This window comes from Homo sapiens, chromosome 1 (genome assembly GCF_000001405.40).
Source record: "Homo sapiens chromosome 1, GRCh38.p14 Primary Assembly".
Lineage (NCBI taxonomy): Eukaryota > Metazoa > Chordata > Mammalia > Primates > Hominidae > Homo > Homo sapiens.
This window is the reverse complement of record NC_000001.11, coordinates 70,311,432-70,328,134: the sequence shown is the minus strand read 5'-3', so window position 1 is coordinate 70,328,134 and position 16,703 is coordinate 70,311,432. Positions and strand designations below refer to the sequence as shown.

Here is a 16,703-nt window from a genome sequence, read left to right as displayed (position 1 = left end):
AATTAACATTGTTTCATATTTTATCTTTTTATGTTTTATATATATAAATTTTTTTGTTGTTATTTGTTTGTTTTATTTGTTTGTGTTTTTGAGTCGGAGTCTCGCTCAGTGGTACAGTCTCGGCTCACTGCAACCTCCGCCTTCTGGGTTCAAGCAGCTCTCCTGCCTCAGCCTCCGTAGTAGCTGGGATTACAGGCCAGTTCCAACATGCCTGGCTAATTTTTTTGTATTTTAGTAGAGACAGGTTTCACCATGTTGGCCACGTTGGTCTCAAACTCCTGACCTCAGATGATCCGCCCCCCTTGGCCTCCCAAAGTGTAGGGATTACAGGCATGAGCCACTGCACCTGGCCTTTATTTATATATATTGTTGTTATACCATTTGAAAACTAAATGTAGATATCATGACATTTTACCCCCAAATACTTCAGCATGCACCTCTAAGAATACAGATATTCTCCTTCATAACCACATTATCATGATCACACCAAGGAAAATTAATGATATTGTTAAAATATCATCTTATACCCAATGCATATTGAGATTTCTCCAATTGTTCCCAGAATGTCATTTATAGGTTTTTTATACTGAAACATGACCCAGTTGAGAGTGACTCATTGCATTTGGTTGTTATGTCTCATAATCTAGAGCAATTTGCTCACCTTTTCCCCACCTTTGTGCCCAACTTTTTGAAAAGTCTTGACCAGTTAACTTGTAGAATGTCCTTTCTCTCAGATTTGCCTGATCATTTTCTCTCCATGTTTCTTAACCTGTTCTTTATCCTTTGTTTTTTCTGTGAATTGAAAATCAGCTATAGAGGCTTTATTAGATTCAGGTTAAACATTTCTGGATAGAATATTTCATAGGTGATATTAGGAACTTTACATATATCACATTGGAAACACACAATATCAGATTATTTCATCATTAATTGCCACTAAGTTAGATCGTGTAAGTGATAATCTTCAAATATATCCATTGTAAAGGAACATTTTTCTGTTTGTTATTAGTAAATATTCTTGGGACAATACTTTGGTTCCATGTGAATATCCTATTCCCAGCATAAAGCTTTTTACCTAGTGGCTTTAGCATTCAATAAAGACCTTTGCCTAAACCAGTTATTACTGGGGTATTATGTTAAATTTTCTAATTTTATCATTTCTTCTACATTTATTAGGTAGCATTGCATTATTCTGTAAGTAAGAACTTATTGCCCACCCTTTTATTTCTTGATGTTGTTATGGGCTTATCAGTTTTTTTTTTCAATGTGTTATAACTAGTTAGCCATTATTCTTTTTGATGCTAAATTTCCCAAATTTGGCTAACCATTCAAGCTGGCTTCTCTGTACTTTTGATATGACTCTAGTCTTAAAAAATGACTATATTATTAATGTAATGTAGATGCAACATGTCTGTTATTGCCCTACTGTGGACATTCACTTTGTTTCCAGTATAATTGCCATACAAACAACATTAAACATTCATGTACATATATTCTTATATACTGTTACCAGATTGAAACACTGCTATGAAATTTCTGTATTTATTTTACATTATTGTGATAAAGTTCCCTGCTAGTATATTTATTTCTTCTATCACTAGGAATAGTGCTAAAGTAGTGCCATTTGTTCCCCACCTTAGCCAACCCACATTACACTGTCTTAACACTCTTATTTCTTTTAAAGCACTTATCATTATCTTGCATTATTTTTCTTTTCTAGTTATTAATTTACATGTTATATTCCAACATAGGAATTATGCTCTTCGATAGCAATACCTTGTCTAGTACCTGGTATTTAGAAATTGCATATAATGGACATTTGGTAAATATTTGCTGAATTATTGATTGAATGAATGGATGGATGGCTGTCTTTTTTTTTTTTTTTTTTTTTTTTTTTTTTTTTGAGACAGAGTTTGGCTCTTGTTGCCCAGGCTGGAGTGCAATGGCGCAATCTCGGCTCACTGCAACCTCCACCTCCCGGGTTCAAGCGATTCTCCTGCCTCAGTTTCCCGAGTAGCTGGGATTACAGTCATGCGCCACCATGCTCGGCTAATTTTGTATTTTTAGTAGAGATGGGGTTTCTCCATGTTGGCTAGGCTGGTCTGGAACTCCCGACCTCAGGTGATCGGCCCACTTCAGCCTCCCAAAGTGTTGGGATTACAGGCATGAGCCACTGTGCCCGGCGTGGGCCTCAGTTTTAACTTTTTTCCTGTTAAGTGAACTTTTTATTTTTTAATTTTTATTTTATTTTATTTTGAGATGGAATCTCGCTGTGTCATCTGGACTGGAATGCAGTGACGCAATCTTGGCTCACTGCAGCCTCTGCCTCCCGGGTTCAAGCGATTCTCCTGCCTCAGCCTCCCATTTAGCTGGGACTACAGGCACGTACCACCATGCCTGGCTAATTTTTTTTATTTTTTAGTAGAGACGGGGTTTCACCATGTTAGCCAGGATGGTCTCGATCTCCTGACCTCGTGATCTGCCCGCCTTGGCCTCCCAAAGTGCTGGGATTACAGGCGTGAGCCACCGCGCCCGGCCAACTTTTTATTTTTAATTAAAGAAAAAGTTTTCTCAACCTATAGAAAGGTCTATACCTTAGACTTCTTTTGATTATTTGAAAAACTATCTAGATTTGTCGTTGTATCATAAGCCGAGTTTTGCCCTTTTTCTGAACATTTTTCCAAACCATAACAATTATAAAATTTGAAAAATAAATGTGTTTTGGAAACATTACTGACTCTTATTGAAAGCACTTTTGTTTCTGAAATAAAAAATGAACTTACTATTTGACATTATGGACACACAGATCCTCTTTTGGGTCTTACTAGCTGATAGGTATTTGCAAGTAAATCACTCTTGAAGTTCTTGGGTTATCTTTTAGAGTATGAAAACATTAAAAAAATACTCTTGGAATAATTATTAGGGAACATGATACCTTCTTTGCAGAGAGATCCAATTTATTTTTAGGCAGTAGAATGGATACTTTTTAAATCTAGGGATCTGAAATTACCTGGTTTAGTTAGATACATAGAAATTTTTCAAATTACATAATTCTACATGGTACAATGTTTATTTCATCTATTTATGTTAATTTGGTTTATTAAACTTTTATATATTTATATTTAGAGATTCTAAAAATTGCATGATGTTTGATATTATTACTACTTTATATTGCAGAATGTGCCCATTTACTTTTGGCTCACAATGCTCCAGTCAAGGTGAAAAATGCTCAGGGATGGAGCCCTCTGGCGGAAGCCATCAGCTATGGAGATAGGCAGATGAGTAAGCAATATGAATTACTGTTGTTGATATATCTTCTAAAAATATGAAGTGATGCATTTGAAATATTCTTCATTCATTGTAACTTGCCATAATATGAACTTTTGCAATTATGTGTAAACTTACATGTGAATTATTCATGACTTAGGAACTTGAACATTGAGTGGAACCCAGAAAGAGTTGAAGAATCACGTTTAAAATTATGAATTTTTTTTTCTTTTGCTGCATTCTACCTTACTGATGTTCTCTGATTCTTTTTTTATTCATCCATAATACAGGACTTTAAAAAAAAATTGATACCTGACTGTCCTTTTTGGCAACTGCTTAATTATATAGGCCATTATTGGAACTAAAAATAACCATAGTGTTACAATAGTTATCTGCTTTAGTTGGTAGGTATAGATTTTGCTGGAAGCAAGGAAGAAGACTGTCTCTATTTTGTTTTAGTCATTAAAAGAGTATTTCCAAAACATGTCATATTCTTTTTGATAATATGCTGAATGTTGAGTTATTCCACTCTCCCTCCTCCTACCCAGAATTTTTTTCAACTTCACATACAGATCTTATTTTTGTCAAGTATATCTCAATAGTGGAAAATTGTACAAAACTTAATCTGGATGAATGGGAATATTATCTTGCTGATAATATTATCTTTATATTTTTAGGCTGAAAATGATCAATTAAATCTAACTTTGTGGAAGGAAATAAAAAACGTTGGCAGTTTTATTAAAGAAATGCATAATGTGGAACTCTCCTAGGTGTTACATAGATTCAGTCTTATTTTGATGCTACGTTTTGGGCTCTTCTGGGTGCTTTCTTAAGATTTGGCAGGCTGGGCACGGTGGCTCACGCCTGTAATCCCAGCACTTTGGGAGGCTGAGGCGGGTGGATCACCTGAGGTCAGGAGTTCACCACCAGCCTGGCCAACGTGGTGAAACCCCGTCTCTACTAAAAATACAAAAAAATTGCCAGGCATGGTGGTGGGCACCTGTAATCTCAGCTACTCGGGAGGCTGAGGCACGAGAATCGCCTGAGCCTGGGAGGCGGAGGTTGCAGTGAGCCGAGATCGCACCATTGCACTCCAGCCCGGGCGACAAGAGCAAGACTCTGTCTCAAAAAAAAAAAAAAAATTATTTAGCTGTATATTGTACCGCACATACATTTTTGTGGACTTCCTGAACTTTATAAACAAAAAAAATTTTTTTTTTTGAGAGGGAGTCTCGCCCTGTCACCCAGGCTGGATGGAATGCAATGGCACAATCTTGGCTCACTGCAACCTCCGCCTCCTGCATTCAAGGGGTTCTCCTGCCTCAGCCTCCCAAGTAGCTGGGATCACAGGTGCCTGCCACCATGCCTGGCTAATTTTTGTATTTTTAGCAGAGACGGGGTTTCACCATGTTGGTCAGGCTGGTCTTAAACTCCTGACCACGTGATCCGCCCACCTTGGCCTCCCAAAGTGCTAGGATTACAGGCATGAGCCACCGTGCTCAGCCTATAAACAACTTTTAATGGTGAAGTTATATTTGGGTCTAAGATTTACTGAGATAAAATTGTAATATTTTAACAACTAAAGTGAGTGTATTTTTTTTTTATTTGTTATACACTGACAGTTGTCCTTTCTGGACAAATATCAGGAGACCCTCATGAGAGCAAGAAACAATACTAATCCTAGAATTATTTCAAGGAAAAGATAAAAAATGTGCAAACCCAAAAGAAACTGATAATAAGAGTTGCAACAACTGGTCTGAAGAAACTTCCTCTGATTTTTCTAACTAATTAACAGAATGGAGAGGAAACAAGATTGTCTTCTGGGTTTCTGTCTAGTGTGACTTTTGTGACTTTCAATTATTCTTTTTTTTTTTGAGACGGAGTTCCACCCTTGTTGCCCAGGCTGGAGTGCAATGGCACAATCTAGGCTTACCTGCAACCTCTGCCTCCCGGGTTGAAGCAATTCTCCTGCCCCAGCCTCCCAAGTAGCTGGGATTACAGGCATACATCACCATGCCCGGCTAATCTTGTAGTTTTAGTATAGTTGGGGTTTCTCCACGTTGGTCAAGCTGGTTTTGAACTCCTGACGTCAGGTGATCCACCAGCCTCGGCCTCCCAAAATGCTGGGGTTACAGGTGTGAGCCACTGCGCCCGGCCTCAAGGATTCTTTACTCAGAGTCAGTATTTACTGAGTCCTTACTATAAAGCATGTGTGTGTATTAAGATGTGGAGAATAAAAGACCTGGTCTCTTCTGTTTAAGAATTCATAATTATTGGGAAGGCCAATAAACAAAATTTTCATGGAAAATTAGTTAAAGGATATTTAACAATCAATTTAAAGGTAAAAGATTGAGGCTCAGATAGTTGAGGTCTGTTCTTAAAGTGATTTTCTTATGTAGAGTGATACCTTAGCCATTCTAAATAATATCCCATTGTCCATTATTATGTAATTATATAACCATAATTGCTCGGTGCTTATATTTTCATTACTTTCCATCACATGAAACAAATACTTAACTGCTAACTTAAAGGATAATTAATTGAATATCTCTTACGGTTTATTAGAAATATTAATATAAATGTATAATGGTGTTAAACATATGTCTGTACTTATTTTTATTTATTTATTTTTTTTGAGACCGAGTTCAAGCGGTTCTCCTGAGTAGCTGGGACTACAGGCACCTGCCACAGTGCCCAACTAATTTTTGTATTTTTAGTAGAGATGGGGTTTCACCATGTTGGCCAGGCTGGTCTCGAATTCCTGACCTCAGGTAATCTACTTGCCTCGGCCTCCCAAAGTGCTGGGATTACAGGCGTGAGCCACCATGCCCGGCTATGTCTGTACTTTGAAATTATCTTAAGCACTGTGATTTAAGTTTTTGATTTTTTGGCTTGTGTTACATTAACATTTTATGTTTTTTGAAAAATCAGAGATAATCTAATATTATTAATTACTGGCAAAAACTTTGTGACCTATTTTTGTGTCCATTTCTTCTGATTTCTGATAATTTTGCTAACATTCTTGTACCACAAAACAGACAATGCAAACTACTTGTCAGAGACTGTTTAGAATCATTTCACTAATTAATAATAAAATTTCAAGATTATGTTGCTTTTCTGCCTTACAGTGGTTACCTGGTAAACAGTGATCAGCCCAGACCAGTATGAGATAGAGATATGGATACAACTAAAAAGCCTTTTTTTCCCACAATTTATCCCTCACCCATGGTTCCTAGCTTTCTCTGATCGAGACAGCTCTGGTTTCTTTATGCACTCTGGGATCTAGTTGTCTTTTGTCTCTCCAGAAGTTGTTCACAGTTTGTGCAGACTTATGTCATGGTATACTTGTGTTATGGTAGTTTTGGGAATTCTGTCGGCCTTTGTCTTATTTTTGTGGCACATCAAAGGTGTTAATGTGGAGGAAGAGACAGCAGTTCATATTGGTTTGCCATCTTACATTGAACTAGAAGTCTTCATTTAGCCTTCAATTTTAAATTTCTTTTTGAGAGAAGGCTTTTCTCAACTTCTAGAGTAGGTTAAGTTCTTCTTCTTGTACATTTTCAAAGTGGTTTAGTCTTTTCCTTTGCAATATGTTGCATACTTCTAATTAATTTTTCAGTATGTGTTCCCTACTCTGTGTATCTTGATAATATAAGCTTTGTGAGACTTCAAGTCATGCATATGTTATCTTATTCACCCCTTTATCTCTGGTACAATATTTGTTTAATGAATTAATGAAGAGATGAATAAAAACTACAAAGAAAATTCGAGACTGTGTATCAAGAATCAAAATTTTTCTTTAAAGTATTATATTAGATGCCAGTAACCCCAGCGCTTTGGGAGGCCAAAGCAGGCAGATTGCTTGAGCCTGGGAAACATAGGGGGACCCCAACACTACAAAAAGTACAAAAATTAGCTGGTGTGGTAGTGTGTGCCTGTAGTCCCAGCTACGCGGGAGCCTGAGGTGGGAGGATTGCTTGACCCTGGGAGGTGGAGGTAGCAGTGAGCTGAGATCACGCCACTGCACTCCAACCTGGGTGACAGAGTGAGACCCTGTCTAAAAAAAAAAAGAAAAAAGTAAAGTATTATAGTAGGACTTTTATTTATCACAACTCTCCTGAGTTTTCAAAACTTTGTTTTTTCTTATAAGAAAATGATGACATTCATCGTAGAAAATTAGGAATTATAGGGAAAAGAAAAGAAAATAATATCACTCAAAGATAACCACTGTTGGGTCAGGTGTGGTGGGGCATGCCTATAATCCCAGCACTTTGGGAGGCCGAGACAGGTGGGTCGCTTGAGCCTGGGAGTTCAAGACCAGCCTAAGCAGCATGGCAAAAACCTGTCTCTACAAAAAAATACAAAAATTAGCCAGGCATGGTGATGTGCGTATGTGGCCCCAGCTACTTGGGAGCTGAGATGGGAGGATCCACTTGAGCCTGGGAGGCTGAGGCTGTGGTGAGCTGACATTGTGCCACTGCACTCCAGCCTGGAGCCTGGGACAAAGTGAGACCCTGTCTCAAGAAAAAAAAAAAGACAACCACTGTTAATATTTTGTTATATTTTAGTTTCGTCTTCTGGTCATATTATTCTCTACATAAAATTCTTTAAAACCTCCTGTTCTGAGGACAAAGACCAAAATTGCTAACTTTGTTTATAAGGTCCAGTATGATACTATCACTTCCTTGTCTCCTTCCTCATCTTGTTCTTTCCATCTGGCTTTCTATGTGTCAGCTCTGCTGGCTTTTTGGTTTCTCATACTCCTCATACTTATATATCCCCCTCTTTTTGTCACAGCTCCTTAAGATTCTTCAGATCTCAGCTCAAGTACAAGGAAGTTTTCTCTGCTCATATATTGTCTCAGAACTCTGCCCATTCCCTTTAGGCAGAGTGTATGAGGCCAGGAATTGTCTATTTGTGTTCTGAATACCTACTAGATGTGTCAGAAACATAGTCAGGATGTGCCATTAACTTTGATATTGAGGAAGTCATCCTACTTAAGGGAGAGAGACCAGTGAATATTCTGTGGCATTCTGAAGTATTTACAAAGTCCTGGGGGAAACAGATGAGTGGAAAAGTTATTCAGGTTCTTAGCAAGGTGTTTGGTTATTAAAGCTGTCTCAAAGGGTTTTAGAAGTTAAAAAGGTGGGTAAAGGCATTCTACTGTGCGAGAGTGGAATGTGTATAAAGCATGGAAATATTAAAAAAAAAAAAAGGCATATGCTAGGGAACAATATGTATTTGGTTTCTTTTTTTTTTTGAGATGGAGTTTCCCTCTTGTTGCTCAGGCTGGAATGCAATGGCGCGATCTTGGCTCTCTGCAGCCTCCGCCTCTCAGATTCAAGCAATTCTCCTGCCCCAGTCTCCCGAGTAGCTGAGATTACAGGCACCCGCCACCACACCCAGCTAATTTTTTGTATTTTTAGTAGAGACGGGGTTTCACTATGTTGGCCAGGCTGGTCTTGAACTCCTGACCTCAGGCAATCCACCCGGCTCGGCCTCCCAAAGTGCTGAGATTACAGGTGTGAGCCACCGTGCCCCTGTATTTGGCTTCTTAATGATACATGGCAAAGATGGATGAAGGGGCAAAGACCAGTGTTGGGAAATGAAGTTGTAATGATAAAAGGACCACATTGATATCAGCTTTATGTGCTAGTCAAGATTTTAATCCCAATTTCCAGTCTCTGCAAAACCCCAGAAGACTTCAAAGCAGGGCTTGTTATTATTAGATAAGTGAAAAGACTTTCTAATTAATACAGCGGAGTCAGGGAGGCAAGAGATATTTAGAACAAAACATTTTTGGAACAAATGAGGTAAGCTTGACTTAAAGACATAGTGTTTTTAGAGAAGGAAGGGATAGATCAGAAAGTAATTAAAAGAAAGGTTTAGCCGGGCGTGGTGGCTCATGCCTGCAATCCCAGAACTTTGGGAGGCTGAGGCAGGTGGATCATGATGTCAAGAGATCGAGACCATCCTGGCCAACATGGTGAAACCCTGTTTCTACTAAAAATACAAAAATTAGCTGGGCATGGTGGCGCACACCTGTAGTCCCAGCTACTCTGGAGACTGAGGCAGGAGAATAGCTTGAACCCAAGAGGCAGAGGTTGCAGTGAGCCAAGATTGCGCCGCTGCATTCCAGCCTGGCGACAGAGCGAGACTCCGTCTCAAAAAAAAAAAAAAAAAAAAAACAAAGATTGATTTAACAGAATGGATTATCTCTTGGATATGGGTAATGATAAAATGATTCAGAGTAACTCTAAGGTCTCTATTATGGATTGATGGTGATTTCATTACTTAATTGATATATAGACTATAGGAGCAAGAGCAGTATGGTCTTTAATTTGTGTTAGATTTGTTGGGTTTGAATCAACTGTAGTACATCAGGTAGAATTGTCCAGGTGGGAAGCAGGAAATAGATTGGAGCTTAGAAGGAAGAGGAGTGCAAAAGGTAACAGATTTAAGTAATACTTGGAGCAGTAGGGCATAGTTCCAAAAGCTTTAGGTCAAACTGTAAACTTCAGTCGGAGAAGGAGGAAGGAGAAAGTAAAATTAGTTGTGGTTTATGGACTTTTGCATTTGAGTCTTTGTATGAATTCTTTTATCACCTAAATCCTCTAAAGCTAATTTTAATCTTCATTGTTAATCAGTATTAATAAAATTCTTACAATATGGGAATACAAATACTGATCCCTAAAAAGGATACTGGTAATTGGTAATTTTGTGTAATTGCTTTCTGAATGTGCATCCATAAGAAGTTTGAGTTTATGGTATTTTTCAATATGAAGTCATATAGAAAAGGGAATCTCTTCGCATATGTTATTATACTGTGCTATATACAGTGGTTGCCATTACCTTTTTAATGATGTTTGGTCGTTATTTATTGAATGCCTTCAGCTTTTTAAATGATGTTTGGTCATTATTTACTGAATGCCTTCAGTCAGTTACAATTATATTTAGTTAATAAAATCAGGCTGATAAAAAAATATGTAGCCTCTGCTTTTTATTGAAAGACCCTTTTTATCTAGGAATTGAATTCTTTTCATTCTCTGCATTCAACTGAGGTCCATTTCAATCTGAAGGCAAGGTAGATTGAATAAGATTTATTAAGGTACTTGAGCTTATAGTAGAAAACAATGACCATTAAAAAGAATTGTACTACATTTGAGTAATATAACTTTGACATTAAAGTTAAATTATAATGAACAGGAAGGTTTGTCAGATTCATACTTGAATCTTTAAATGATTATCTAAGTCATTGATTCTCAGACTTTTTGGATTTCACAGACCAGAAAAATTTTTTTTACTGGTGATTGATATAGGGAATCTAACTTTTTCATCTTAGACTATCAGAACTTTATAAAAACGATAACTACTGTCTTTTGTGATCCACATTTTATTTTTAAAAAAAAGATATTTGAAACCAAAAGTAGGAAGAATAGTCTTTAAAAAAATTTATTAAGAAAAAACTCATTCTAGTACACATTTTTTCTCATTTTCTGTATATCATTGGAAACTCAAACAATTGGGCACAGAAATGTAGGTTCGTATTTGGGAATTATTGATTTAGGTCACCGAGCTAGTAAATGGTAGAACTGAAACTAGGTCCTGCATTCCGATTTCTGTGTCTCAGTTTTGATTATTTTGAGACACCTTCAGTAATTTAAGCATTGTTCTTTGATTTTTGGCTTTTTAAAATATATTGGAATTTAGTTAGACCTGTGGTTAAAAATAAGAATAGCTCCTACTATTTTTACATGCTTCCCTAGATTTTTCCTAATTTTGGACCTATGTGGACAAAAAAAAAAAATCTAGTCCAAGCTTTCACTACCTTCTTTTTTTATTCGCCTTCTGCTTCTGCGTTCCACATGGGACTTGAAGTGGTTTATAAGAATGCATGCTGTGAAATAGTAAAAATAATTTACTGATTTTTAAAAAGCCCTCAGAACGCATATGTATATGTATGTATATGAAAAATGTGTTAGAATCAGGAGGAAACTAGCGTGTATATATGTATATATTTTCCCCGATGCACATTTTTCCATGTTCTTATTTTTTCCTATGCTTATTTCATTCAAGTCTAATATTTTTTCTTATTTTGGTAAATATTAAGGATTAATTGATTGATTTTGCCAGTGAATTTTAGACCTTCATTCTAATAGATAAAAATTGTATTTAGTTAATTACAGGCACAGTGTCTTGCTCTGTCACCCAGGCTGGAGTGCAGTGGTCATAGCTCACTGCAGCCTCAAACTCTTGGGCACAACCAGTCCTCCTGTCTCAGCCTCCCAAGTAGCTAGGACCACAGGTACACACCATCAAGCCCTGGCTAATTTTTTTTTTTTTTTTTAATAGAGATGGGGTCTTACTATGTTTCCCAGGCTGGTCTCGAACTCCTGAGCTCAAGTGATCCTCTCACCTTAACCTCCTGAGTAGCTGGGACTACAGGTGCAGACCACTGTGCCCTTACTTCTATTCTTACTTGACAAAGGAGAGGAAAAAAAAAGGAAGTTTAGAGAAATTAAGTAGTAACTTGTCCAAGTTTACCCACAACCACTAAGTGGTAAAGCTGGGGTTTGAACTTCAGCAATGTGCTTAAATCTCAGTAACTGAAAATACACTATGGAGGACCTTTAGGTTTTCTTAGATTCAGAAGTTCTTTTTCCATGTACAATAAGATTCATTTTTGTATTTTTTATACTGTGCTGGTAGTATGTGAAGGTATATCCTCCAGTGGTAAAAGAACAGATAACACCTGGTAACAATTGCAGGTAATTATATGTTTTTAGAAAAGTGGCTTCCAGTGGGATTTTTGAGATCTGTTGTTTTTGAGATCTTCCTTGAGGTCAGTGTTCTATTAGGACATTGCATCATTTGAATGAGTTTGGTTATCTTGGCACAGTTAGGTAAATCGTTACTGATAATTAAAAAACTAGTAAAAGCTAGTGTGAATATGGTATAGGTTGATGTTGAAATATCTCTTCTCATTATTCTTTGGGGATCATACCAGTTTTATTAAACTTACTTACTAACTTATTCTATCTATATAGGTCCCATGTTCTCTGACTTCTATGTCTCAGCTTCTTTTACTGTTCCAAGAGGCCTTCAGTAATTTAAACATTGCTCTTTGATTTTTGGCCTTTCAAAATATATTGTAGATGTAGATACACACATACACATACACACATACATGCACGTGCATATATGTGTACATGTATTATCTATCTATATGTATAATAAGCCAGTGGTGTTTTTACTGCATGATGAAAATTTAAATTAGTTATTTTTAAAATTTAAACTTTAGTTACAGCTCTTTTGAGGAAGCTTAAGCAGCAATCCAGGGAAAGTGTTGAAGAAAAACGACCTCGATTATTAAAAGCCCTGAAAGAGGTAAGCTATATTTCTTTGTTAATTTTGCACCTTGGAAGTAATTATAAGTGTAGTTTTAAGCATTTTTTTCTTAATACAACTTAAATTCTCACTTATTAGGGGCCAAAAAATGGTAAAAATCATGCTTAAATTAAGCAATAATTAGTGTATGAATGTGATCTTAGTAGAAGCACCTCAGTTTGAACTAGGAAGATAAAGATTTATTACTTTCAATAAATTAGATAAGAGCTCTAAAGAAAAAAAAAGGAGGTAAGTCACAGTTAATGGCAATAATTTTCCTTTGCCTTTGAATTAGAAGATTCTCTATAGCTAAAGCCATTGCTACTAGAAGTGGCAGTTTTTTTTGTTTGTTTGTTTTGGAGACAGCGCCTCACTCTGTCGCCCAGCTAATTTTTTGTATTTTTAGTAGAGATGGGGTTTCACCATATTACCCAGGCTGGTATCAAACTCCTGAGCTCAAGCAATCCGCCTGCCTCAGCCTCCTAGAGTGCTGGGATTATAGGCGTGAGCCACCGTGCCCGGCCTGTATATTCTTTATGTAACAAAAACTCTTTTTATCTGTCCTACCTCCTTGTGGTAAGAGCTGGGTATGCTGGCACACAAAAGAGAGTGGTTTGTTTTCTATTGTTACTCTCTTCTCTGTATTTCTGCTGCCTGAAAGAACTGTGGGAGAAAGATAGACCTGTCATGATGATTATGATGATAGCTTGTCTCTGTTAATGGTGCTTTTTTTTTTTTTTAGATCTTAAGAAATATAGAAAAAGCCAGAAAAATGTTTTACTCATATTGCAATGATATCTACTATTAACATTCACTTTTATCACTTTTTGAAAAAGAAAGACTAACTTGTTGATGTTGCTATATATGTAATGCTCTACTTATATTTAGAATATATACTCTTAACAGTTATAATCTTTGGTGTCTAGCTTCTAATTTGCAAAATAAAATTTTTTTTCGGCCAGGCATGGTGACTCACGCCTGTAATCCCAGCACTTTGGGAGGCCGAAGCGGGTGGATCACCTGAGGTCAGGAGTTCGAGACTAGCCTGACCAAAAAGGTGAAACTCCATCTGTACTAAAAATTAAAAAAAAAAAATTAGCCAGGCATGGTGGCAGGCGCCTGTAGTCCCAGCTACTTGGGAGGCTGGGATAGGAGAATTGCTTGAACCCAGGAGGCAGAGGTTGCAGTGAGCTGAGATCATGCCACTACACTCCAACCTGGGCGATGGAGTGAGACTGCATCTCAAAAAAAAAAAATTTTTTTTTCATAGATATTATATGATGACATGTTTCAGATTTAATAAACTTGTATTATCCCTTTACAGAAAAATATTTTCTATTACAATGGGCCATTTTTTAAATGCCATTATGAGGTTATACAAATAATCATTTTGGTAGTAATTTTTAATAACACTTCTAAAGTTAACTATTTAAAAAATAATATTTATTATTATTGTTATTTTGTTTATACTGGGAAGTGTAATATTTATTGATACAAATTTAAATGCTTATCAGTTTCAGATATGTTACTATGTAATTAAAATATTATAAAATATACAGGTGCATATTTTCCTTTGTAATTAAGTATAGTAATGCATGTATTATAATGTTTTAAGGAATAGCCATATTTTTAAAGCATAAGAACTTTTAACTAAGGTGCATTTAGTAATTATTCATATTTCATTTTTCAGCTAGGTGACTTTTATCTAGAACTTCACTGGGATTTTCAAAGCTGGGGTAAGAGTATGCTATGTTTTAGTATAAAATATGTACTTATGCAGAAATGCAAGTACAAAAATACCTATCATATAGAAATGTTAGGATAACAAATTTAATACTTGCTGTGAGGAAAAGTATTTTTCATGACATTGACTGTAATCGTTATAAAGCCCTATAATATTTAGTTATTCCAACTTGATTAGTAACTTTAATAAATCTTTTTTTTTTTTTTTTTGAGACAAGTTCTCACTGTTGCCCAGGCTGGAGTGCAGTGGTACGATCATAGCTTACTACAGCCTCGAACCCCTGGGCTCAGGCAGTCCTCCCCGCTCAGCCTCCTGAGTAGCTAGGACCACAGGCACATGCCGTCACACCTGGCTAATTATTTTTATTTTTTGTAGAGATGGAATCTCACTGTGTTTCCCAGGCTGGTCTAGAACACCTGGGCTCAAGCGATCCTCCTACCTCGGCCTCTCAAAGTGCTGGGATTACAGAAGTGAGCCACCACATCTGGCCAATAGTTTATATTTTTAAGGTTGAAAATGGCACTTTTAGTTTTAAAAATTTTGTTTTACAAACAGCATTTAAAATTTAATAATAGAATGCAAGGAGTTTTCAGAAAAGAAAATTAATTATGGGATTATGGGACTACTGAATTTAAGGACGTTTGAAATCTAGTACTTAGATCTCTGAATGTGGAGAATTTAGTTAACATTTTTTGTTTATGTATATTTTGTTGTCTTTCCGTTATTTTGCCTCTTGCATACTTTATAGCCACTTTCTTTACATACTGTTTGGTTGAACATTGATTCCAGTGACTTACGAAAGATCCTAATTTTGCCCTAGATTTTTTTGCAGTCATTTATTGACTTACCTTAACAAGGTTTTTCTCCTCATTTTAAACATGAGTCCACTAGAGAGAAAACTTTCATATCCAAATATGAAATTTGATTCTAGTGACCTTTATTTTACTAACTAAACAACTAAATTTTGTTGTTTTTAAAGATTTAAAAAAATGTAATCTCTAAAGGTTTAGACATAATGAGCTTATGTGAGTTTTTGTTGAAGCATCTAAATTAATTTTTTTTTTTTTTTGGAGACAGAGTCTCACTCACTCTGTCGCCCAGGCACGTATGCATATTATACCAAATGAGGAACTTTGGGCAAAGAATTCAAAGTCAGTAGAATAGGAATTTTGAACTAGCAAATCTGTTTCTTTTCAGTTCTACATTCTGTGGCTCTATAGTTTTCTCTATACATTTAAAAACAAATTCTAGACTGTGAAATGGAGATTACTTACAGTACTTAGCCCCATCCAGTGCTGCTACTGCTCTTCCCAGGCAATTTGTAGTGGGATTTCCAGAGCAAGGCTCTGTCTCAAAAAAAAAAAAAAACAGTAATAGAAATTTCACAGTTTTAGGCCTAGTCTATGGGAGGTCAATAAATGCAACTTAATTTAAAACATTACATTCTGATATTTGTTAACCTTGAGGAAGTTATGATATTCTCACAATACACTTGGGTTTGCAAATTCAGCTTCAACTCGTCAGTAAGAAAATAGATTATACAATATACCATATAGCAGTAAAATGCCTAGGAAGTTACCAGATTTAAACTTTAATTAACAATTATACTTGTTATTTCTTCTAATTCTCTTACATCTTCTGATTTCTTCTGAAAAAGTAAACGCAGCCATAAATCTGAAGTCCATTAGCACTTATTTCTCTCTACTGTATGAAAAAATAGTAGTTTTCTACTGTCTTGAGAAAGAATCTGGCCTCTTTTCAACAAGTAATAATTTTCTACAAATTATATTTTTGATAAACTGCCTTCTTTATTTGGAGCTTTTAGATACAAATCAGACTTCCTCTCCAGCTTATGTACATTACAGCTTGTGTAAATTTTAAACATTGATTTTATAACATCTGTATACATTTCTAAAAATTGTATTATGCTTTTTAGTTAGCTTTGACTAATACAAGTTATTTAATACTAAAATTATCCTCAGTTTACTAAGATTTTAATCTATTTTTAATAGAATATTCACTGTAAAAGTTTTGAACATTATAGAAAATTAATCAGGTATTTTTAAGTTTCCCTGTTACCACTTCCCAGAGGTGACTATTGTTAACATTTCGTATGACTACTTTCAAATGCTTTTCAGTGCTTACTAAAGTGTTTGTGTACATAGCTATGCACACACAACCCCTCAGAATTAGGTTTTTTTTCTCCCATGGAATCATACTGTTATATCATTATGCAAGTTGACATTTATTTATTTATTTATTGAGAGGGAGTCTCACTCTATCACCCAGGCTGGAATGCAGTCAC

General features: G+C 36.1%; 1 protein-coding gene across 12 annotated transcripts in view; it reads left to right on the top strand.

Annotated features, from left to right (window-relative positions):
• The window catches only part of ANKRD13C (ankyrin repeat domain 13C), a 95,724-nt gene that overhangs the window by 26,588 nt on the left and 52,433 nt on the right, over positions 1–16,703 (top strand). For 11 of the 12 annotated variants that reach the window (XR_007064007.1, XM_047431282.1, XM_047431278.1 and 8 more), the window contains 3 exons: positions 3,178–3,282; positions 12,569–12,654; positions 14,345–14,390. Coding sequence is in view for 10 of the 12 variants with exons in the window: in XM_047431282.1 (XP_047287238.1) it covers positions 3,178–3,282; positions 12,569–12,654; positions 14,345–14,390 (237 nt within the window). In the remaining 2 variants the exon portion in view is untranslated. Of the gene's footprint in view, positions 1–3,177; positions 3,283–12,568; positions 12,655–14,344; positions 14,391–16,703 lie in introns of those variants that run through there. The other variant, XM_047431283.1, reaches the window with a different exon arrangement.